We start from the raw sequence: 26,100 nt of genomic DNA, 5'->3' as shown, positions 1-26,100 counted from the left end.
CCAACAGACAAAATGTGATATAATGAGACTTGCAAACTTAGCAACTTTGGAAAATTTGGCTGCTTTCACGCAACCTGAGTTATATACTATCAGAGTCCATCCTAGAAAAAGTAGGCTGGAAAACAAAGGGAGGCCACATCAAGGGCCCCTGTGCAGCAATCACAAAATCATGTTGGTGTGTAAGCATTTAATTAGCTTCCCAGGTTTACAGGAGCTCCAGTCAATTTAAGACACTCTAGGTAGCTCCTCCTAGACCATGCTGGCCCTCTTGGAAGCCTGGACTTAGAATGCCTACCACCAGGGAAGGGTATTCGGAGAATCTTAATTGAAGGAAATTCCTATTTTTATGTCTATATGATGTACCATCAGCATTTCCTCCCCCACAAAAATACACAGAGGGGCAACTAGTCCAAATAACTGGTTTAAATCTGTGAATTACAGCACTGCTTCAAGGAACTTTTAAGGTCGTTTTGTGTCTACAGAAAAGTTAGATGGCATCATAAAATTTTTAGAGCTAATGTAATCTTTATACAGTGGATTCATCTCCACTGATGAGATGTGTCTGAGGCACTACCTCTCTCTCCCTTTCTTTTGACTGTCCTTGAGTCCTGAGAAAGAATTACTGCTCCAGTAATACTCATGCCATGACTGCACAAATACATCTTCCACCCTTCAGGATGCAAGATCTCAGATCCCAGGTCTTCATTTTACTTTTCTCTACCAAGGGAAGGGTTGGCTAAACTTGGTTAATTTTCAGAGTTGGTTGCATTTCAGCTGTGGAGTCTAATCCTCTCTTACATCTCCTGTGTGTATTTCTTCTCGGCACTTCGGTCTTTAGTGACCTTCTCATACATTTCATTAAATGCCCTCCACCTTGGTAAATTACAGTACTTTGAACCCTTGGAGTTTAGCATATAAAAAAGCAAGCGCCTCTATATACTGCCCTGGGATAAGGTGTGATGAAAATCCCATGCAAGCTGAACTGTACTTCCTAATCAAATGGGTGTAACAGATGGCTGTTGGAGCGAACCATCACAATGGAAATATCTGCAGTTCTCATGGTAACGGAATCTGCCAGGTCTGAGGGATTTGCTGTTTTTCAGGACATCTGAGCTGCAATCTCTTTCGAGCTGTCTAGCAGTCTCCGTCTCGCTCTCTCTCACTCTCTCAGCATGATGGAGATAGAGTTGAAAGGTGGAGCTCGATTTTGCATTCCAGCTGTGATTAAAGACACAGGCACACATCCTGGGAGATAATACGCTGCATATTCATTATGCTATCTAGAACCTCTTTAGCTACCGGGACACGACTGTCATGCAATTACAATATGCCTTCTTCAGGAGTAAAGGGGGGTTGGGATGAAGAAGATCAGAGAACGACAGTGAGGGAAAATACGAGGAATTAAGATGCATGAGACGTACCTTGTAATAAAGATATGGAGCAATATTAAAACGAGCAGTTGTTTCCATTTCATGGCAACATGTCAAGATGACTTAACATAGCAGGATAAAACATCTGGCCTGGGGAAAAAAATACATGATGTCAAATTTCCAAATCACAATGTAGACTATGTGGAAGAAAAACAACAGATAAGCAACTGTGTACCTTCCCAATAAGTGAAAGCATGTGGAAGATTTCTTTATACTCTGCCATCAGAAAAGAGATCCATCTCATAAGGTGGAGGTTAGCATATAGACACTGAGCTTTTATTATAAATCTAAGGTTTGGGCTTAAACCCACAGGACTGCCTTAGAAAAGGGTTTTTTATTATTTTTTTTTCCTCATGCTATTCATAACCTTCTGATTTCACAGAAGTGCTCGGAAAGGGGAAAATAATCAGTCACAATTCTATTTTATTAAAGTCTTTTCCTCCAAATCCCTATCGATTTAAAGAAATAAGGAAAAGTATACTGTCTTCTTTGCTATAGTACCTCCTAGAAAACACACACACACACACACACACACACACACACACACACACGCACGCACAGGGTTGATTCACAGCTGCCTGGTCCCTTGGGTATTTGAGCTTGAAGATCAGACAACATATAAGAATTCAGCCATGACTCAAAATGGAAACAAAGAAGACCATTCTTAGAAAACCCAGCAACGTGAAATGAAAAACTACAGGCTGTAGGCCGGAGCCCCTAGCATGCTTACCACCCCCCACCCATTGTCCTTGAGGGCACTACTGTTAAATACATATGACAGCCAAAGAGATGAGGAGAATAGTTTCCAGAAAGCAATGATTGGATCTCCCTTTTCATGAGGTAGAATAGGCAGGACTATGTAAGCCTGTAAAGTAGCTCTTGAGAACAGGCCCTGGGAGGCAGCATTGTCTCCCTCTCATACGGCGCCTGAAGAACATATTATATTATATAACCTTTCTCCAAAGCCCGCCCTGCTTTGACTGGGACCCTCTTCCTTTAGAAGCCTGCTAATAACAACTTGTGGATGACAAGCTCTGTCTTAACAAGCCGGATTAGTTAGTTTAAAGCAATGAACTGAGGCCATTTGTGCAGATGCTAATCAAAAAAAGAAAAAGGAAAAAATTAGAAAAGACCCATGAGCCTCCATCTCTTGTAAGTACAATATAGATAAAGAGGAGTGCGTCCCAGGGCCACATCTGTGAGCTGACCTCTAAGGCACACAAAGGTCTCCGGGGCTGTGGGGTTATAAAAGGAGGGAAGAGGGTTTGTATGGGGCCAGTAGCAGACAAGAGTGGCTCTGAAGGGGCAGTTATCGGAGGACTGTCTGAAGCTTTTTTTCCCCCTTGGAAATTGTTCTTTATTTGTCTCTTATGAGGACTTTGCTTTTGCTTCACAGACACTTCCCAGCTCCTAGCACGGAGCCTGGCACATAGTATAGGCGCAGATTAAATATTTGATGGATAAAAGATTAAATGGATAAGGAAAGATTCAAAAATGTTCAAATGTCAAGAACAAACATACAAATCCCACAAATATATGACTGACCTCTCCTTCCTCTCTTCACCAAGAACAAAACTAAAATTATATTAAACACAACAATCAGCACATTTAGAAAGACATTCTGTATCTTTGAAGATCAATGGCCAGATTGGTTATTAACATTCAACCATGACTGGCACTTTAAAATATATACACAAAAAGGAAAGCTACTCAGCAGATGATTCAGATTTAGAATATTGCAGAAAATTTAAGTCCATTTTAAAAAAAGTAATCTGTCATTTCATCGGCTTCTCTGAGAGGTCACTTTTTTCTACACCACAACTAGGAAAACTGACTCCTGAAGGAAGGAATGTTTGGTTTCCTTTCAAATATTCTGAGAATAACATAATATGCACTCTATTACATTTCAAATCTGAGTATGTAATCAGTGTGAGAGAGAAAAACAAATTACTAGAGAGAATACTAGCTCTCACATTCCAGAGGCTGAAACACACACACATACGCACACACGCACACACACACACACACACACACACACACACATACAGCTTCTATTGGCTCCTTAAATTTTAACTGCCTTCAGAGTACTATTTTTTTAGGAATTCTCTAAGCCAAATGTTTGCTGGAATGCTAACCTCCTTAGAAGCTCAGGATGTCCTGCTGAGATCATTCAGTTAGAAGACATTCAACTGCCCTAAAAGTTAGAGAAGGGTAAGTTTGAGAATTGGAAAGACTCTTAAAGAGCAAAACATAAAAGCTGCCTCTCTGAGTAACACTCATCTCTAACCCTCATAACAAATAATATTTTTGTACAAGAAGGTTGTAGTCAAACTCAAGAAGATACAGATATAACTCCAATGTTCCTTCTATAATTTACAGATAGAAAAGTACGCTCTTCATATATATTCAGCTCATACTGTCTCTCAGCCACAGAGATTCTTTTGTTTTACTGTCAATAATTATCTCATTTTCTCATGTCCCTGCCACCTTGAGCTGAGGAATAGGATCTAACCATGGTGTTGCTGCTTCCAATAAGTTTTAGGATCCAGTTTGTTTTAGACCTCACCTAATTCTCTGGAGTGTTCAAAGCCCAGGTAGGACAATCAGATCTGTCCTTTCAAAGGAGCTCTTTTATTACCAACCTTCTCTAGAATAGATCCCCAAGAATTGAACTAGAATATTTTGTTGTAGTTGAGTTCATCAAACCTGAGTAGGAAACCCACTACACACACACACACACACACACACACATTCAAGATTCCGGGGGAATATAAAATAAGTCAATACCTTCTTGTCCTGAGAGTTTACAATCAAGCTGGGACAGTTAAGAGAAGATTACTAATGGTTATAATATCAGGCAGGACAAAAGAAGTATAATCCGAGTACCTCGCAGAGGCAAAGAAGGGTTGATAAAGTGCTCTATGAAAAATTGAAAATTTGATGAGATTTGAAGGATTATATGTAAGATTTCAACAGACTAAAAGAAAGGCATGAACAAAGACATTCCAAAAGGCGGAAATGACATGAACACAGAGGCAGTAAAGTGTTAAGAAGAGTTTGGGCACACTGAAGAGACTTGTTTGACTAAGCAGAGCAAAGTAGAAGAAAACAAAGCTGTGGTCATATGAGAGGAAATAATATCTAATCCCAGGAGCATATGGGAGTTGCTGACCATTATTGAGCAAAAAAAAACATTTTATTTGGGAACTCCAGCTTCACTAGATTCACAAAACACAACACTTTTTCAGGATTCCAAGGATGCCCCAGGCAAGCAACAGTCCCAAGGGTGCATTACCAGCAGAAAATCCAGGGGGGTCCCAATTTACACGGAGCACCTTTTTGCCCACTGCAAGTATGACCTTTTAAGAGTCAAAACAGCAAGATGTAAAACCTGTCCTGTTCTGCATGTCTTTGGAAATAAATAAACCTTTTCTATTTCAATACTTGGCATCGTGACAAGACCTAAGAGGAACTAGAGAGATAATTAATAAGGGCATGAGGGGAAAGTGCAATTAAAAATGGCAAAGACTACTTCGTAAATAAGTGCTTCATACTGCGAAAGATTATTACTGCGATCTCCAGCTTCAAACTGAAATCAAATCACTCTGAATGGATAATTTGAACATTATTAGGGGGGAAAAAGCCATCATGGTTCCTAGCCTCTAAATTACAGGAGAAACAAGATTTTATTCTGACTTCACCTTTCTGTCAGTTTAAATCAACAAAATAATCACAGTTTAGTCCCAGTTGGCATAACTCTCCATAACCTCAAGTTTTAACGTTCTTCAGTTTCTTAACCAGAAGAGGAAGTTAGATTGAGAATGCCTCAAGAAGAATCTTTTCCAGGGAACTATTAAAAAAAAAAGTCTCCTAGGAAACAAGAAAGGCAAACTCCCTTTATCTGAATAAGAGCCTTTGTTGGAAATAAAATCTAGCTGGAGCAAATCTGAAAGCACAAACCCCACCAGGCTTGGAGATGTTTGAACCTCTGTCCCAGTTTACAGAGCCCACTTAAAGTACTGATGTTTCCCATCTAAAAAGCAGTCCATGTGTTTGTCACTCTTAGGAGAACTTTTGGCTTCTGCCTTTTGAATGGAATGATTCAAAACTGTATCGTTTCCTGCAATTTAATTTCATAGCTAAATGCAAAGTATAGGAAGATAAGGTCACAGGGATATGGATCTATCTCCAGAAAGTGATCACACTCCCTGGGCTGCCGTAAGTGGAGATTTAATTGGATACAGTAGGTTTTGCTATGATTGTAACATGGAGATAAATTATTTTTAAAATGGCCAATGACCATTGGCAGCTCAGCAGGAATAGGGGTCAGAGAAGAGTACGGCTTCCAATTATGGCTTGAGATAGAAAGAATTGCTTACATCAATTTCAGATGGTTGTGAATAGCATCATTATTTTGTAATCATCATCATTATTGTCGTCATCATCATCATCCTGACTTATATTTTTTAGTAATCTTAGGAACAATGACTAGAGGGGAATACTGTATACTGTTCATTCTCTCTTTACCTTAGGTTGAGGAGGTCCACTAAAATAAAAATGGGATGAATAACTCCTATCATTCCTGCACAAAATAATTGACCCAAATTCCTTTAAGTCAGAAGTCAACAAATTATACCTGCAGTCCAAATCTAGCACTCTGCCTCTGTTTGTAAATAAGGCTTTATTGGAACACAGCCATACTTATTCATTTATGTATTGTCTATAGCTGCCTTTACAATACAATGACAAAGTTCAGTAGTTAATGATAGAGACCATGTGGCCTGCAAAGGTTGAAATATTTATTCTCTAGCTCCTCACTTTGCTAACCCCTTCTCTATCTTCATCATCAGTATCATAATCATCCCTTCCACTGTAGAAGTCATGGAGTATCTGAAGGTTTTAACACATCTTGTTTGATAACACCTTTCTGATTGATGAAGATGGAGACAATTGCAGTGCCCACAGACATCTCAGACTAGTGTCACTTCTCTATGAGAGATTCAGACCTGACATTCCCTTCATCATGGGACACTCAGGATAAGGACATCACTTTGTATGTAGAGTGAGGGCCAGTGCTCCTGTTTGTCAGTAAGACTGAGAGGCATTAGGCTTGATCTATGGACTGGGGCGATTCATCAGGAAATGACAGTGAGGGCTGTTAAACTTGGAAACTGCTTATTAAACCACCTTGTGTGTAATACATTTGTAACTGCACATATTCTCATCCATCTGGAGTGGAAATATGTAAACGAAGAAACATCAAAGTTGAGTATTAACCTGATTGGACTTTTATAAACTGCAGTAGCAGAATAAAATATTGGAAATAATTTAAAGCCTAGATGACCTTAGTTCAAATCCGGACACCCATTAGCTATGAACATTCGGACAAATTTCTTACCCTCTCGAAACTTCCATTTCTTAATCTGCAAAATAGAAATGTTAATAGATAACATTTATTTTTCAGGGTTGTTGCAGGAATTAAATAAGGTAATTCCTGAATAATGCCCAACACAGCGCAGTAGATGCTCAAAATGGCAATGGCAATGACTACTGTATTTGGCTTTAACTAAGAAGACAGTAGAATCCTTTCCTAAGAAAGACTGATTTCAATGCTCTTAGTAAATTGGGCTAATATTCTTAAAAGTTATTTAATTTGGTATTCAACTTGTTTTTAATATTATACTTAAAATATTATAGCTTGCATTTTTACATCACTTCGACTCCCAAAGCTTTTTCAAATGAACCCAACATTTCTGTGCCTGAAGTATGCTATAAGGATCAGGTATTTGTCCATTTAACAGATAAAGAAAATAAAGTTATACCTAGATTCCTACAGTAAATGAATTAAGCTAAGGCTCTGGCTGTAGTGCCTCATGGCTCAAGCACTTAGTACTACCCTGGATGTTATGTAATAGTCTTTTAAAAGTCAACTCTAACATCCTGGGGAAGGCAGGGATCCCAGTCAGAAAGCTACACTATAAGGAATGAAAGCCAGGGCAGAAGATGCTGAGAAAGAAGGCAAGACACTCAAGAAAGCAAGAATCTAACAGAAAGATGATGCTTCAGAATTCAGACAAATACAGCAGTGTGCCTTTAAAAAGGACCATGTCTATACTTCTATATTGCTTTCTATCTGAAGCTAAGCCAGAGGGATGTACATAGTGAGATCTTTGTCTCATTTCAGGAAGGATACAAGATAAAGATTCTGTGCCAGTAATCTTCCTTGGATTAATGGTTTCTCTTTTATCTGCTGTATTTCTGCTCAGATGTCTTTTCTCTGAATGAGTCAGAGGAATGCAAATGCTGGGTGCAGTCCGCCTGAAATATTTAAATCTAGTTTTGCAATGTTTTGCAGGTTTGGAGGGAAAAATTACACACACACACTTACATATGATGAAGGAATGGCAGATGAGAATTACAGACACATCAGCCAGCAATACAAAAATGTGGTATTTCAATTTGACAACAAATTCATTTTCCTTTTTTCATGTCTTTGTTTCCCCAGATCAACATTTAGATGCTTGATGTGAGTGGAAAGAATCTGCAAATTCTTTTGTGAGACTCGGAATCTCATCAAGAATGTATCTGACTACATGGGAAACTGATTTTATTTTGGCTTCTAAATGACAAGCCTTCATTAAGCAAGGAGCATCTCTCCCTAGAAACAGCATTCTCTATACCCTGATAGAAGGTGAGACATGTTGGATGGTTGGGCATGATTTGTGTTCATTTTCCTGATTCTTCCTTTTACTGATATACTCTGAACTCTTTATTCTTGCATTCAGTCATAGACTTGCAGGCAGAGTCTCACTATTGTGACTAAGAGGGCTTCCTCTAAAAGGAAACCTGAAAGGCATTAATATTCAAATCCTCTGGCTTGGTCTGCAGTGGCCTGATGGAGCTCGCACAGAGCCCCTATGCTGCAAGGGAACAAATCTTGGGAAATACAGCTGAGTAAATTGGAATTTAGCTTCTCTCCCCATGCGCAGTACTTAACATGAAACCCTTATAATGAAAGGTCTCTTCCAAAGGCTTTTATTGCTGCAAGAAAGAGTTCCTACAATGTGAACCCAAGGACAGAAGGAGGCTTTCTTATTTTCCTTTCCACCTCACGTGAAAGAATAATCTCATGCCTTTAGGACAAAGCCTTCTTTAGACAACAAAGTGAAATGCCTTCAACATCCATGAACATCTCCCAACATCAATGAGACTGCTATTCATAGATGAAAAAGGAAGAAGAAAAGTGTTGGGCATGAACAATTGGTCAACACGGCATTACCCTCAAAAACCAGAAAGTCAGAATTTGAAATGTATAACATCTCTCACTCCTATTAAATCAGGATTGATGAGTTCCCAGGGTTGTTTAACATCCTTTGACTTTACTTAAATGATTTATAACTCTTATCTATGCTGTGGTTTCTAAATTTTCTCCAAGCATGCACCTGAACTAAGTCTGGGGAAGGCCTGACACAAGTATACAAAATCATACTTCTTTTTTTCAAGCAGTTTTTGTAAATTGGTCTGTGAAATTTTACTCAGTATTAACTAAGCACCTAGAATGTGCCAGGCACTGTGCTAGATACTGGGGCACAGATATGAGTAAGATGCAGTCCTGGCCCTCAGAGAGCACATGCCTGGTAGAGAGAGAGACAAACTAGTATCTGCAATGTCATACAAGTGCCAGAGCAGAGATGAGTGTAAAAGAAGGACCAATCAGGAGGGCAGATATATACATATGTGTGTGTGTGTGTGTGTGTGTGTGTGTGTGTGTGTGTGTGTGTGTCACCCAGGAGACTATTTCAGAAGGTTACATGTTATAAGAAAAATCAGACTTCAGCCTCTCCAAATGAGATTTCAGTGGCATCAGCCTCTGCCTGGCAGTCATCTCTCCAACTCATTCCCCTTCTAAAAAACCATTCAAACAATAAAATACTCTGAGATCTCTGGCAGCTGCAGACATGAATACAGGTCTTCTTTGGACCCCATTTAGTCTGTCAGCAGACTATCCGTTGTAGGCATCAAAATGAGAAGCAGCAGAACAGGGTACCCAAGTCATAGGCAGGGACAGTCTGTCTCAAAGAGGCTCAACCAAATTTCTGTCTAGCATGGAGATACATCCTGCCAGTACAGAAATGCAAAACACACTGTGAAACAACTAGCCATTTGTATTTGCATTCCCTTGGAAGGGTTCCAAGTGCTTCTGCCATCCTTTGTGTATTCTCCAGAACCGAAGAATGATCAAGGTATATGTTAGAGTCTCAATCTGAGTGGCTACAGCTTACCCACTGAGTCCTCTTAGGGAATCCAAATGTGATACACCAAAATGCCTTTGATCTCTTGACACCAGAATTTAATGCATCATCTAAGCTACAAAGAGAAAGATTTTACAGCTCTACAAATATCCCAGCCAAAAATCTGTAGAGATTTTATATCTATACAAATATACCTTCTTTGGCTAGAATAGCATGTTGCTGAGAAGGGTTTTTAGGATGCTGGTTTAAATGAGATGGAGGCTAATTTATTCTCTGAAATGATATTGAAGCTCTGCATCACACAATGTAAAAAATGACTAAGTCCACTCATGCATCAGCCAGAATAATTCTGGCAAAGTTGATGCTGACAGCATTAAAAAAAAATGATGGAGGAGTCTGGCCTTATTGTTGTCATTTTAATTGTCACTATGAGTGACGAAAAATGCATTTCCTTCTCCAGCATACATATCTCTCAGTTCTGTAAATACCTTAACTGGGTCTGTGTCACTCAAGGGTATGATTAAAAAATAAAAAGGAAAGGAAGTGTATATGTAAAGATGTGAGACAAAGAGGGAGTGTGGAGAGGAAGAGTAAGAAAGAAGGGGAGAAGAAGGAGACAGACAAAGAAAGAAAGAGCCAAGTGAGCAATAGAATCTGAGAGAGGGAATGAGATAAAGATAGAGAAAAAATGATATACAAACAAGGATTGTTTTGGATGGCTCTTCCTGAATATCAAACAAAGGGTGCTGTTAGTAATCTCATGAAAAAGGCTAGTTTTTTGCATCAAATCAAGAAACCTGCAATGTTTCCAAGATCTACTCAGAGTTTTCAGGCAAGACAGCCCAGAATTTCTTGTTAAAAGCTTAAGGGCTCAATTTATGCTAAGCATTCAAGGAAATGTCTCATCCAAACAGAATATCATTTTTCATATTAAAGAAGCAAACCAATCTCAGAGCATAAATGTTATTATTCACAGTCGCAAAGGAAAATGGCATTTACATTCTCTTCTTTCATAGGGAAGGAAGAAGGAGATTCTCCCTTCTTTGGGGCCAGAAGACAGCTCAGAAATCCTATTTCTCCTCCTGAAAGAAATACATTTTTTTTCCTCAACCCCAATAGGTGAGTCCACAAGCCTCCCCCATGGCATTGATTGCTTTGATGGGTCAGTGTACAGTATGCCAGTGTACAGTATGCGCATGTTGCTTTTAAACATATGTTTGGGGGGAAGAATCAAAGCTAATTTCAGTGTGTGAAAAGCTAGCAGATTCCATTAGTGATTGTGACTTTACTTCAAAGTGATAAGGCTGCTGGATGCAGGTTCTCAGAACTGAATGTCCAAATGGGAATTTATGATGTAGAACTTCAGTTTTATCAACTATTGGAGTCAACATACATACAAAAGAAGAAATACTACATTTTTCCCCTAGCAGAAATTTTAAGGTTAATGCAGTGAATCTGTTATGCTTTTTTTCATTTTCTCCATAGTTTTTTCCTCTTGAAAACTTGTTACAGTGGGGAGTAGGGCCACTGGAATCACCATTTCTGGTTTTCATATTGATGGATCTGAAAGAACGCACGTTACATTACCCCCCTCCCATAGCCTCTTCTACAGATGACCATGGCAAACTGCCAGAAATAATTCAAATGGGATTAGACTACAGCCCTGAACTCTCCTTACAACATAGATATCTGGTAGTACTCTTAATTATCTTGGTGTCAAATCCCAGCAAGTCATCTCCCAGCTTTATGGATAACAACCCCAACTAGAAATTTGAAGAGAACATGGTCATTGATACTCAATGGATATTACTACATTCAAAACACAACAAATCCATAAATGTACATACATAGACAACTCATATGTCCAAAAGAAAAAAAAAGATATGTACTGCTAAATCCTCAAAATAGAGCATAATTTTTAAAGAAAGTTTGTTATAAAACAACATTTGGTATTTCCCCTATAAAACTGAGTGGTCTCCATTTAATGAGACATGATTTTTTTTTTTTACAAGATTTACCTTACTCAGGATATGAAGAGTTAATAACTGGGTCCACCAGTTTCATAAGAAAAGAAGTCAGGACTCATGCCAGTTTAACATCATTTCAGGCAGCGTAATAATACCCTTCCCTGTTCTGTGTTCAGGAAAGGGAAAACAGAGACATTGAGAGTGATACTGGAGTCCTTCCTTGTTTTATTTGGCCACAGTTCCTCAGCAGCTATTGTTTCCTGTGTGTTCAAGCACAAGTTGCTATAATCAATGGAAGAAAATGTAAAGACAAAGAGTGGCATGAGAGATAACTAAATTCTACTGAGTGCCTACCGTGTGTCAGGCACAGTTGATTATCTGTTTCAGTTCTTATAGATATCTTGTGAAGTACATTCGCATTCAAATACCCATTTTACAGATGATGAAACTGAAACTCTAACACTTGCCCAGGATGGTATAGCTGGTAGTCGGTGTAATAGCAAATAAACTCAGATCCATCCCATCTGATTCTAAATCCCATGTTCCAGAAGACTATACAGCAATGGTGTTCAAACTGTTCGTCAGTGTTTTAGGGGTTCTGTCAATGTTTCATTTAAACTGTTTTCCTCAAAATACATTTTAAAATATCTTTTAAAAATATAATTTTTAAAAGGTACATTCAGCCGGGCATGGTGGCTCACACCTGTAATCCCAGCACTTTGGGAGGCAAAGGTGGGTGGATCACCTGAGGTCAGGAGTTCTAGACCAGCCTGGCCAACATGGAGAAACCCTGTCTCTACTAAAAAATACAAAAAATTAGCTGAGCGTGGTGGTGGGCACCTGTAATCCCAACTACTCAGAAGGCTGAGGCAGGAGAATCACTTGAACCTGAGAGGCAGAGGTTGCGGTGAGCTAAGATCACACCATTGCACTCCAACCTGGGCAAGATGGGCAGGACTCCATCTCAAAATAAATAAATAAATAAATAAATAAATAAATAAATAAATAAATAAAGACAGACAGACAAAGAAAAAAGGTACATTCAAGTGTCCTGTATTCAATGTTCCTTTTGGAGACTACCAGGATATTAACTTGTTTCCTCACTGACTGTGTAAAATACTGCTTTTACAACATTCAACATTTCATATGTTGAATTTTGCATAGAATTTGCATAGGCTAAAAGACAAGTGTGAAAATCCTTGCTCTAGGGCATGCATTCTCAGTAGGGGCCAATATAACTACCAAGGGGATGAAATTTGGTTCTTGAAGGCCAAAAACCTTAGATATTATCATGGTTTGCTCCCTGCTTCCCAAAGGTCATAGTACATAAAGAGGTATCCAGTATTTCTGTGGGATTAAAATTTCACAGGGGAGGGGATTAGCAAAAAAAATGTCTTAAAAGGCTGTTTATGAGGGAGATAATGAAAAAAAGGTTGAGAAACACTGCTCTAGAGTATTAAGAATTTCAGGGAATTTGAAACAGAGAAGAAGGATAGCTTGGTCCTCACTAGGCCTGAGCAGCCCACCTACTTGCATTATAATCCTTTGGGGAGTTCTCCTTGGATGCTGTCCATTGTTAACAAGCCTGGCTTGTTTGGAACCTTAGAATTTTCTATCTGTAAAATGGTTTTACAAGCTCCAATCCTTCTGTTTCTGAGATGAGATTTAGCAACCTGAGCCAGGCCCCTCATCATATAGAAGGAAAAAGTGAGGTCTGGAAAAGCAAAGCATTTGCCCAAGGACATAGAACTGTTGGTGCCAATTGAAACTTAAACCTAGAACAGTACCTTACATAGGGTAGGTGCTCAAAAAGTCTTTTGTCAGATGAGTGAGTAAAGGGACAAATGACTTCAATTTAACCAGGAGATTTAACTGGGAAGATCGGATATAAGAATATTTTAAACCAACTCTATGCCACTAACTGACAGGGAGAAAGAGGGGAAAAAGAAAACCACTGACTAAATAAATTTCCCCAGTGGTTAGGCCTCTAGGAGTCACGTCACACATCATAGCCCCAGCTGAAACAGAACAGTACTGGGAGACAATGCAAGTGAGTTCTTCCTCTGGCTGACCCAACCACAGATCTTTCCTTTGTTTGTTTGTTTTCCTTTCTTTAAAGCTCTTACAATACTCCTAGCATAGTACCATCTGCTGAAGCGGGATGAACAGGTACCTTTAAAATGATGATAGCTCTGGGAAATGATAATCACTAGGTCATAGAAAGCTGCACTGCAGTGTATAAATAAGATAAGTAAAAGTGCTGAGGACTGCATGTTTGCTTTAATAAAATGTGTTTTCCCTTTTTGTGGAGAATGCCTTTCTCAAATGCCTGGGGAGAGAAGCTGAACTATAGACCAGAAACATGCAGACGGTTCCAGAATCTGGCAATGAGGGTGGGATCAGAGGGGAAAAGGATGAAATATTACCTACTGAGACACAAAAGGAAAAGGGTTGGACCAGAGCCTTTGTGTTGAATTGCTGAAGCAATGGAATGAGATAAGAACTTCCAGGTCTAATTCCAAAGCTCCCTTTGGTAGAGGCAATATGGTGCAGTGAAAAGAGCAAGGGTTTGGGTTACAGCACAGCTCTCAACTAACTATGTGACCTTAGGAAACTCAGTCTTTCTGAATCTTGATTTTCTCATACATAAAAAGGAGATAATATTTTACAGGTATATCGCAAGGTTTAAATTAGAGAATATATGTAAACCACCAACCATAATGCCTGATATACCTTGTGTTTAATAAATGGCACTGGTGATGATGCAGTGATGAGGATGCAGATACGCAGATGATGATGACAATGAAGATGATCCACAGGCCTTCTCTAGACAGTAGCTGCATGTACACACTGAGTCCTGAAGATCATCAGTGGCTTAGAAGTTAACATGCCCTGTGAGACATGCTATTGGAAAGTGTAATTCATAGAGCGAGAATTCCCTTTGCGAAGGGTTTCAGTGAGTAAGAACGAAATCTAAAAAGATGTGCAGCTTCTGAATTTTTGCATACTGTCTTACTTGGGCTTTCCGCAAATCCAAAATATTTTCACTGACATTTTCCACATTTTATTCCCATACCAGCAATGTAAGGTTGCCAGCGTACATACTAGATGCCCATTTGACAGATGAGAAAACCTGAGGCCTCAGGAAGTTTAAACCATTTAGTTACTAGCACAGCCTTGTACAGTGAGAAATGGTACCTGGACTGAAAGCCTGGTTGTCTGCTTGCTATTCTAATGGTACAACATGCCAATTACTTTAAAAATTTCTACCTAGAAAGAAATGTGGAACACATGCAGGTCTGGTGCAGGTGCAGGTATGCCCTCTCTGCATCCCTAATGTGTGGCCATCTATCCTCTATCTGATCATTTCCACCTGAGGCAACATAGCGTTCTCATTATTCATCCACCCACTCTGTCCTCCATTCCTGACTCAAAGTAGAAAATCTGGGGGAGACTAGTGAAAGAATCCTTCGTCTTGAAAATGAATAAAGTGAGATGTCTGTCAAACCAGATACATAAATGGCATCATCCAACCATTGTGCAATTGACAGGGAAGCAAGACTGAGCTCTGGAGGGCTTTGCTGTATCTCAGTGGACAAAGTAGAGCTGACTTCTGTCTGCAAGATTTCAACCCTGTTGGGGATACTCTCTCCACCCTCAAACACAATTCTGAAGGTATAAATGATGTATCTTCCTTCTCACAACAGTCCTATGAGGAAGATGGGGCTGTCCTTTTTCTTCAAGTGGGGAAACAGGAATCATAAATCAGCCACCATATGCAGGAACACAAAACTAGTTCATTGGAAAGCCAGATCTTAAACACAGATTTCCTCACTCTAGTCCTATCTTCTTTGCTCTACACTAGATTGCTGCCTCTATCAATTAGAAATCTGGCAGCAACAGAAAATCCAAAACCCAAATCTGCTTGAACAACAACAACAACAAAAATTTGTAAATCAATAATTCAAGGAATAAGTCTGGTTTCAGGCCCCAGGTAAAAATCTGGGTAGCTCCAACTTCAAACCTTACATAGCAGCTCCCTAGCAACTACAAGTTCTCCTCTCACAGAGAAGACAGTTCCATGGTACAAATCCTCTTATTACCACCTTCTGTGGGGAAGAGAGCATTTATGCCCCTGCAATTCCATGACAGATGGTGAGCTTTACTCTAGTTGGATCAGCTTAAATCATGTTCCCATCACTACACCATCATGATAGAAAGAAGGACAGGACACTTTGATGGGCTAATCAGGACCCACCACTGGAGTTAGGGTGAGGTCAACCCCACTCAGTCTACATGAATGACTATGGTGGAGAAGTGCTCTCTCAGTGGAAATTCAAGGTGCTAATATCAGGAAGAAAAGCTAATAGAAACTCGGCAGGGACTCCATAATGACAGTCTTTGAATTCCTACCATGTGCCAATTGTACTGCCAGACTGGAAGTAAACTTTTAAAAAGAAAACACCAATGTCTGCCTAGGCAGAGTTCAGTCTGGCATACCTTGACCCAATGGTAGAAAATAGGTGTTGTCTTAGTCAGTTCAGGCTGACAGAATACACAGAGTGGCGTGAACAACAGACATTTATTTCTCACAGTTCTGGAGGTTGGGAATTCCAAGGTCAAGGTGCCACCAGCAGATCTAGTGTCTGGTGAGGGGACTATTCCTGGTTTGCAGACAGTCATCTTCTTGTTATATCTTCACAGGATTAAGAGAGAGAAAGCAAACTTCCTTATGTCTTTTCATAAGGGCACTCATATTAATGAGCACCCCCTCCTCATTACCTGATTACATCCCCAAGGTTCTATTTCCAAATACCATCCCATTAAGGGTTAGGATTTCAATATATGAATTTGAGAGGGGACACAAACATTCAGACCACAGCAGATGGCTTCACTGCTGATGGTACCTTCAGCCACTTCCCCAGTGTAGCCTCTAGTTCACCTCAATTGGTCCAGACAGAGTCTGAGCCAGGCTGGTGAGAGGAACAATGGACTGGTAAATTCAAGTTGTTTTCTACCTACAAGGCAACTAGATTTATGTCTTATATAGTAAAGGGGCAGTATGGTACAATGGTGAAGAGGGCAGGCTATGGAATCAGACTGCTTGAGTTTGAATCTTGAGTCAACCACTTCCTAACTGTGTGAGCTTGGGTGAGTTATTTAACCTATCTGTGCTCCAGATAGGTTAAATAGTAAAGTAGTAGCAACTACTTCATTCTGCCATTATAATGTGAAGGCAGGCGTAGGTGATACCTGAACAAACGAATGTGATTCTGTTCCAGTAAAACTTTTTCCTTTAGACACAGGGTCTTGTTCTGTTGCCCAGCCTGGAGTGCAGTGGAACAGTCACAGCTCACTGCAGCCTCGACCTCCTGGGCTCAAATGTTCTTCTTCCCACCTCGGCCTCCTGAATAGCTAGGACCACAGGTATGCACACCCAACTAATTTTTTTTTTTAATTTTTTGTAAAGATGGACTCTCACTATGTTACGCAGGTGGTCTCAAACTTCTGAACTCAAGTGATCCTCCTGCCTCGGCTTCCCAAAATACTGGGATTACAGTCATGAACCACCGTGCCCAGCCCCAATAAAACTTTATTTATACAAACAGGCAGCAGGATAGATTTTCCTGGCATCAAGTAACAGCTTCATATGATAGCTAATGTTAAAAAGCCATAGCAAATAGCATATAACTTTATTTATTATTCTCTTCCACACAAAATTCCTCTCTCCCAATAGATTCTACTTCTACCGCTTTTTGACTATGCTGATCATAGATTTATGATTTCAGATATGTACACATGAACTGTTTGTCTTAATTCCTTAACTTGGTGACATAAAAGATCAAGAAAACTCCCCACTCCTCTAATTTGATTATCTTTCACATGTTTAAATTGTCTTGTCCATATGACTTAAAGAGGAAACACTCAGCAAAAATCTTGGCATGTTGTATACAACCCAGTGCTGGGGTGATGCATAGCAAGTAAAGAATAATAACGGTGATTATTTGCTATAAATAAACTCTCAACCTCATTAGTGAATGTTCACTTGCAGACATTTACTCGCATCAAAATGATTTCCTTATGTTACAAGCCACCCCTCAAAGTTTCCTTCTCTACAACTACGCTCCAGCTCCAGAAATCACAACTCAAATTTTATGGTGCTCAGTCATGCTGAGATGTCTCAAGAGACACAAAAACAACACTGGAGTTACAAGTTAATTCTTCCTGCTGGGTTAATAATTAGGTAAAACCAGTTTGAGGCAAAGGGAAATCAGTGTGTGTGGAGTTCAGAATGAATTAGTGGGGAAAGAGGCAAAATAAGGAATTACAGAGTAGGAATATAACTGCCTCTCCTCTTCTGAAGTGGTGCACTGGGCGGGAAAGGGGAGAGGACAAGGAGAGCCATTCTGGAGCCTGAAGTTATAATCAGCAAAGAATCCCTAAACTCAGAATCAGATCCTTGTCTGTGAGGAGGCTTTTTAGTTAATCAACATGAATAACACTTCTGTTTATTGGTGAGACAAAGACTTAAAACTTGATAAATTATAAAATGTCTCTCCTCTTAGCACTTCTGCTGGCAGCCTGGCTCATGTTAACTTTTATTTTATACCAAAGCATCCTCCCATTAACTCAGCATTTTCCCTCAAATTTGTATAGCAAAGAGAAACTCCACATCTCATCTATTCATTTTGTTAGGATGTCTGCAACACCCAGTCAATATGCACCAATCAATATGCACACTACCCATAATGCCAACTGACAACCCTGGGAAACACATGAATAAGGAAAAGAGAAGCTGACAATTTCCCTGCTCATTGGCACAAAAATGCACTGCCATATTTTATGTCTTTCAATAGAGAGGTACGTGGGTGAGGCCATAAATGGCCCATGACTTTGTTACTAGGAAAGAAACCAGTGGAGGTGGGAATATTCCATGTATTTGGACAAAACTGTATCAATGTTACTAGAAATAAAGACGCTCTCATCCATTGTACTCCCCTGTAGAGACCTGGACATATACCCAAAAGCATTTAGTGTAGTTAAGTCTCAAATATACCGAAGCCAAGATTAAGTTTTAAACGACTAAAATGACACAGCTTTGTTGATCATGCTACTGGTGCCACCTACAGCCTATTAACTTGTGAGGTCAGCACTCAAGTGTTCACACAACTCTGAGCTTTTTACTCTGCTTTCTACAAGGAGAGCTCCTGATCTCATCCAAATAATACAAGCCTTTTCCATCCATCCCTTTCCCTAGGACTTGAAAATCTTAGCATAGGCTGGGCACAGTGGCTCACATCTGTAATCCCAGCTTTTTGGGAGGCTGAGGCGAGTGGATCACCTAAGGTCAGGAGTTCAAGACTAGCCTGGCCAATATGGTGAAACCCCATATCTACTAAAAATACAAAAATTTTCTGGGCATGGTGGTGCACACCTGTAATCCCAGCTGCTTGGGAGGTTGAGGCAGGAGAACCACTTGAACCTGGGAGGTGGAGGTTGCAGTGAGCCGAGATTGCACCATTGCACTCCAACCTGGGCAACAAGAGCAAAACTCCATCTCAAAAAAAAAAAAAAAAAAAAAGAAAGAAAAGAAGAAAAAGAAAAAAAAAACAAAATCTTAGTGCAAGGAATTAAGGAATCACAAAAGTCCCAATTGCAGAGAGAAAATTAAATGGGCTTGAAGTCAGATGAGCTGTTTGAACTTCAAAATTGCCCTTACTAACTGTGTGCTATAGTTTGGATAATGTTTGTCCCTCAAACCTCATGATGAAATCTGATCCCCAGTACTGGAATGGGGCCTAATGGGAGGTGTTTGGGTCACATACCTCATGAATGGCTTGGTGCTGTTTTCATGGTAATGAGTGAGTCCTCACTCTATTAGTTCCCACAGAAGCTGGTTGTTAAAAAGAGCCTGTTACCTCCCCTTCTCTTGCTTCCTCTTTCACCAGGTGATCTCTGCACACACTGACTCCCCTTTGCCTTAGGCCACGAGAGGAAGCAGCCTGAAACCCTCACCAGAAGCCAATGCCAGTACTATGCTTCTTGCACCATCTGCAGAACCATAAACCAAATAAACCTCTTTTCTTTATGAATTACCCAGCCATGGATATTCCTTAATAGCAACAACAACAACAAAAAATGGACTCACACTGTGGGACCTTGGGCAAATTACCAAAGTAACTTGGGTAAAGTTACTCTATTTTCACTTATAAAATAGGAATAATGATATCTGCTTTCCAGGGTTGCTGTAAGGATTAGAGAAATACATGTTAAGTGTCTAACATATAATAAGGCTCAATAAGTAAGTTATATTTTTCTGGAAAGACAAGTCATATGAGCTTGACATATAATTTCTCCAGCCTTGCTCTCTGCTCTTCCCTATGTTTTGATCATCTCAGGACCATAGGAAAGGCCAGGATCCAGAGTGCTTAAGAAGAATAGGAGAAGGACAAGTAAAAGAAGAGGAAGAGAAGCAGCAGCACTTTACTAAGTAACACTTACTAAGTACCAGGGATTGTTCTAAGGTGTTCATAAATATTGACTCACTTAGTCTTCATAGCAACCCCATAAGGTTGGTACCATAATTATCCCCACTTTACAGATTAGAAAAGTGAGGCACAGAGAGGGGGATATATGACTTGCCCAAGATTGCACTGCTAGTAAGTGCCAGAGCAAGGATGCAAACCCAGGCAGAATGGCTCCAGAGTGTGCGCTAATGACTACTGATGTGGGACCCAAAGAAACAAATATGGAATCTACTCAATTAAAGACATCAAGAGCTTTAGGGGATGAGTATTTTTTTGTTTGCCAGGGGTACTAGGTCATAATTTTTAATATAAAAGAGGTAACTAATGAGCTTAAGGACACTCTCTTGACATAAATAATATAGAAAAGGCTATGTTTGTACACATACTAGTGAAAAAAGGTGACAAAGTAAGTTATGTCCATCACAATCTATGTCTCTTCAGATCATCTGACTCTAAATCACTGGAGAAACTGAGTATGCATAGCAGCACATTGGTTCCTGCCCTTCCTCCCACATCCTCTTTACTCTTTAGCAGTCGTTGGCCATATCACTGAGTGTTAATGTTGCTTGAGTGGTACCTTTGGAAATTGAAAGATATGAATGGAAGGGAAAGGTCAAGGTATCTCCATTGCCTAGTCTTGAGGATGGAAATATAGGCAGACACCCTGGTCAAAAACGAAGAGGGAGACTTGGTTCAGATGTCAGGAAAATAGCTTAGGGGGACTGAGTGCCAAATGGAGAAGGAAACTCAAAGATACCTTAATCAGAAAACCATGGCTACACACTCCAATAGCAGGGAAAAAAACATCAGGTTACATGGGCAACGTTATGATTCTCTTTCATTTTCTTTACACAAATGCGAGTGTTCCAAAGGCACTCTCACAAGGGTTTCCTTCACTTCATACTCTGGCAAAATGAGGTCTATTAGAGCCATGTTAACTATTCAAAAGACCAAAAGATACCTACTTTTGAAACCATTTTCACATACAATGGAGTAATGCAATGTATAGATTCAAGGAGTTCTCTAGGTTCCCTTACGGTGACAATTTTGTTGTTGCCGCTGTTGCTATTGTTACAAGTGCTGAAAGTTAAAAGCAAGCATATTTCTACATGTTCAGCAACCTCCCAATCTGGAGAGCCCATGGAATTTAGACACACTTTAAGGTTTACAGTTACAACCAAAATGTTAGCTTCTATACTAAGTGTACAGTACAAATAATATGGATCCAAAAAGTACAAAGAGATAGAGAATAGGAAACTCCAGAGGTAGAACAGAAGCAATACACTACTGTTGGGGACAGCCAGGGAGGAGAACCTCACAGGAGCTATTAAAGTCCAACTCTTCCTCCTTGAGAATAAGAATGGAAAAATGGAAATGGGCTGGCTACAGAGTAGGGAAACGCCAGGATCCAAGCCTCTCTGCTGTAGCAAAGTGGGAATTACTCATGGAAAGGACAGAGGGAAGTGAGGGGATTCTGTTGATTGTAAGAAGCACCAGAATCAACCCAGCTATTCTCTTCTTAAACTTTCATGCAGCTATGCCCTCTGGTGTCTTCCAAAAAGTCCAAAATGAATTATTAGAATAACAGTGAGTCAAAGCATGATGCTCAGGATTCTTTCATATCACTAGGATTTTCATAAATTCTAAGATTTTTATCTTAGAATTACAAAGCTACCTCAGATTAAAGATTTAGGGAATGGTGCTGAAAGAAAGCAACAGCTTTAATGTGACAATGAGCTTTGAAAGCTACAGTAAGTAAACCAGCTACCTAGTAGTTTAGATTCTAAGAAACTCAAAGCCGATTGCTAAGGATAGCATAAGAAAGGAGGCTCATTTATGTGAATTAATTGGTAACACCCCCCACCTCTCTCTCTTGCATACACACACACACACACACACACACACACACACACACACACACACACACATTACTTGCTTTCTGGAAAAAGCCACGTTATAAGCGGCCCTATAGAGAGGCCCATGTGGCAAGGACACATGGCTGCTTGCCAACAGCCTCCTGACAACAGTGGGTAAGCTTAGAAATAGATTTTCTAGCCTTGGTCAAGTCTTTAGCACTGCAACCTTGTCTGACAACTTGATTGCAACTTCATGAAAGGCTCTGAGACAGAATCATCCATCTAGATAGCTCCAAAATTCCTGACCCTCAAAATCCATGTAAGATAATAAATGTTTTTCATCTTAAGTGACTACATTTTCAAGTAATTTATTATACAACAATAGACAACTAACATTAATTCTTACTTAAGTCATATAGCTTAAATAGAGTGGTATATCCATTTCCCAAACCTATGCCTTTGCCACTGCAACATTCTGCCAAGCCTGTAGTAATCCTGGATTCCATAATTAATGGCTTCTGTTATGGTTCTGCAAGAAACAAAAACCCAGTCAAGCTAACTCAAGTAAACTCAAGCTAACTCAAGGCTGGGTGTCTAATAATGTATCTTTCCATAAATAATATCTATAAATGCTAGGAGAAAAAATATAAACACTTGATGGTTCCAAGAACTGAAAAAAAGCAGGCATATTTTGAAAGGCAGTCAAACTTATAGTAAGAAGTCAGCACAGAGTGATTTATAGTTTTTGCAGGTATGCCCTAAAGACAACCAGAATCATGACCAAAGTAGCATTGCTGAAATTCCAAGAAAAAGTCTCCTACTTTTCTGGCTGGAGGAACTAGGAAAATTCCAGGCAAAGTAGACAATCAGAAGCTGTGGGAGAAGAAAACCGTGAAAGAATACCACCAAATTCTGTTTACACTCAGCTCAAATTTCTGGATGTCCCCTGAATTATGTATGAATGGGTCAAATAGAAAGCAGCTAGCAGTTAAGGATTATAGAATTAAACTAAGTTCTGAACTTCCACTCAGCAAAGGCATTACAGGCTTCAGTTTAAACCAAAGGAAATAAGATGCCTGTTAAAATGAAACATCAACACTCTCTAGAGCAATAAAACAAAATTCAGAGTCTCTACAATGTTGCCTCTACAGCATCCAGGATAAAATACAAAATTACTCAACATACAAAGTTCCGGAAAAATGTGACCCAGTCTCAAGAGAAAATGCAAACAATAGAAGCCCATGTCAAGATGACCTGTATGTTGGAATTATCAGGAAAGAATTTCAAAATAGCTATTGTGAGTATAGTCAGTGATGTCAAGGAAATATAATGAATATAAAGATTAAAAACCTCAGCAAGAAAAAATAACATATAAAAAAGAAATGAATGGAAATTTTAGTACTAAATACTAAAACATCTCAAATGAAAAATTCAGTGGATGGTCCTAATAGCAAAATGGAGATTAAAGGAAACAGTCAGTGAATTTGAAGATAGGTCAATAAACATCATCTAATTTGAATAAGAGAGGTAGGGGAAATTAAAAAAAAAATAAGCAGAACCTCAGGGACCCATGAAATAATTTCAATACATCTTACCAAGAAAGACAATGGGGCAGGTAAATATTTTAAAGATAAATACCAGAAAACGTCTCCAATTTTTTTAAGATGGAAATGTACAGATCTAGGAAGCTCAAAAAGCCTCAAAGGGAATTAATGCAAAGAAATCCATATCTAAGTACATTATAGCCAAACTGATGTTCAGGGAAGAGAAAGACAAAAATTTGAAAGCAGCCAGAAAAGAACATCACGTTCCATATAGGAGAACAGTGATAGAAATTATCACAAACTTTTCTCACAAACCTTTCCCAGAAACTATAGAGGCTAGAAGACAGTGGAACATCTTTAACATGTTACAAGAAAATAACTGTCATCCTAGAATTCTAAATTCAGTGAAGCTTGCTTCAAAAAGGAAAGTGAGATAAAGACATTTTTAGGTAATGAAAAACTAAGGAAATTGGTCTCCACCAGAACTGTACAAAAAGGTCTTCAAGTTGAAGGAAATGATATCAAGGGAAAACTTAGATTTTCAGGAATGAATGAAGAGTAGGAAATATAAATGGTAAATATATGGGTAAATGAAAACACTTTCTTCTTTTAATTTCTTTAGAATTCAAAGGATATTTCACAGCAAAAAGTATGACATTTTCTTGTAGGATTTACATGTACTTAGATGTAATATATGTGACAACTATAACTTAAAGAGTGGTAAGATAGAAAGTAAATAGACCTATCTATGTATTACAATAATTCTACTTTTTATCATATTAGGACTGCATAAACTGTGAAAAGAATGTATAGAACAAACATGTTTTTGAAATGTACAGAAATATAATTTGAAATGAATAAGTGTCCTAAAATGGAAATTAAGATATTGAAATAACCCAAAAGAAGGTAAGATGAGGGTGGGACAAATGAGAGGGATTCAAAATATATAAAAAATAAAATGGCTACCTAAATTCAACCATATCAGTAATTATATTAAATGTTAATTGAACTGAACACTGCAATTAAAGGGCACAGGTTATCAGAATGGATTTTTTAAAATGAAGACCCAACCAAATTCTATCTACAAGAGACATATCTTAAATATAAATTTAAAAGTTGAAAGTAAATGGACAGAAAAAGACACACCATATGAAGAGTCACCATAATAAGGCTACAGTGGTTGTGATAATAGCAGATAAAATAGATCTCAAGAGTATTAGAAAAAAAATGAAGAATATTTTATAATAATAAAAGGATTAATTCATCAGAAAGGCATAGCAATTATAAATGTGTGTGTCCCTAATAACAGAATTTTAAAATAAGCAAATCAAAAATTGATAAGATTAAAGCGAGAAATAGATGATTCTACAATCAGAGCAGGAGAATTTAATACCCCTCTTTCAGCAAATTACTTAAAAACTAGAAAAAAAAACAAGTAGATACATAGAATAACTGAACATGTCATTCGTTTTTGCCTAATTTGTATTTATAGAACTTTACACCCAATAACTACACAATACATATTATTTTCAAATATACTTGATACATTCACCAATATAGAACATATGTTATGTCATAATGCAAGTTTCGATAAATTTCAAAGGATTGAAGTTATACAAAGTATGGTCTTTGACCACAAAAGACTAAATTATAAATCAATAACAATAATATAGCTAGAATATTACAAATGTTTGGAAATTGGACAACAGATATCTCAATAATCCATGGGTCAAATAAAAATCAAAGAATTAGAAAATATTTGAAACCAAATGATAATAAAAATACAACATAGAAATAAATTTGTGGGATGCAGTAAAGGCAGTAGAGGGAAATTTATGACTTTAAATGTTCATGTCAGGAAAAAGAAAAAAGAATAACTTGTAATTAATGACCTTGAGAAGCTAGTGAAAAAAAAGAACAAAGTAAATCCAAAGCAGACAGAAGAAAGTAAATAAAAAGCAAAAATCAATGAAATAGGAAATAAACAATAAATAAAATAAAGCCAAAAGATGATTCTTTAATTTAAAAAAATTCCTACATCTCTAGCTGAACTGAGTTGAAAGTGGTGGAAAGGGGAAGACGCAAATTACCAATATCAGGAATAAGAAGGAATATCAGGAATAAAAAACTATAAATAGTACACATATTAAAAAGATAAGAAAAATTGACAAGTTAAATGTAATAAACATACATTTTGAAAACTAGTAAAGCACAATCAAGAAGAAATAGATAACCTGATATCTACTAAAGAGATGAAATTACTTGTTTCAAAAAAAAACCTTTCTATAAAAATTTTATTTAAAAGCCTTCAGGGCAAGATATCCCTGCTGGTGAATTCTACCAAATATATGAGGAATAGAAAAATAACAATTCTACACAAACTCCTCCAGAAAACAGGAAAAAAGAGTAGCATCATTATCCTGATACTAAAATTACATAAGATATTACAATTTTAAAAACTATAGATTCATATCCTTCATAAACACAGGTACAAAAACTTTTAGCAAGTTAAACCTAGCAATG

The 26,100-nt window shown here is 38.4% G+C and overlaps 1 long non-coding RNA gene across 2 annotated transcripts in view, besides 1 other annotated feature; it reads right to left on the bottom strand.

The window, feature by feature from the left end:
* LOC107987108 (uncharacterized) overlaps nt 1-26,100 on the bottom strand; it is a 675,821-nt gene that overhangs the window by 627,249 nt on the left and 22,472 nt on the right. For both annotated transcript variants that reach the window (XR_007061713.1, XR_001746870.2), the window contains exon 3: nt 1,422-1,520. This is a non-coding gene — a long non-coding RNA (uncharacterized LOC107987108). The remainder of the gene's footprint in view (nt 1-1,421; nt 1,521-26,100) is intronic.
* Nucleotides 19,212-19,767: an enhancer, noted in NCBI's record as "OCT4-NANOG hESC enhancer chr9:108720067-108720622 (GRCh37/hg19 assembly coordinates)". NCBI's record gives its function as "activates a minimal SCP1, AML or CMV promoter by ChIP-STARR-seq in primed H9 embryonic stem cells {active_cell/tissue: H9 hESC(primed)}" and the evidence as "EXISTENCE:reporter gene assay evidence [ECO:0000049][PMID:30033119]".

The sequence above is a fragment of the Homo sapiens genome, chromosome 9 (assembly GCF_000001405.40).
Source record: "Homo sapiens chromosome 9, GRCh38.p14 Primary Assembly".
In the NCBI taxonomy this organism is placed as follows: Eukaryota; Metazoa; Chordata; class Mammalia; order Primates; family Hominidae; genus Homo; species Homo sapiens.
The sequence above is the reverse complement of the archived record's forward strand: the minus strand, read 5'-3'. Positions and strand labels throughout refer to the sequence as shown.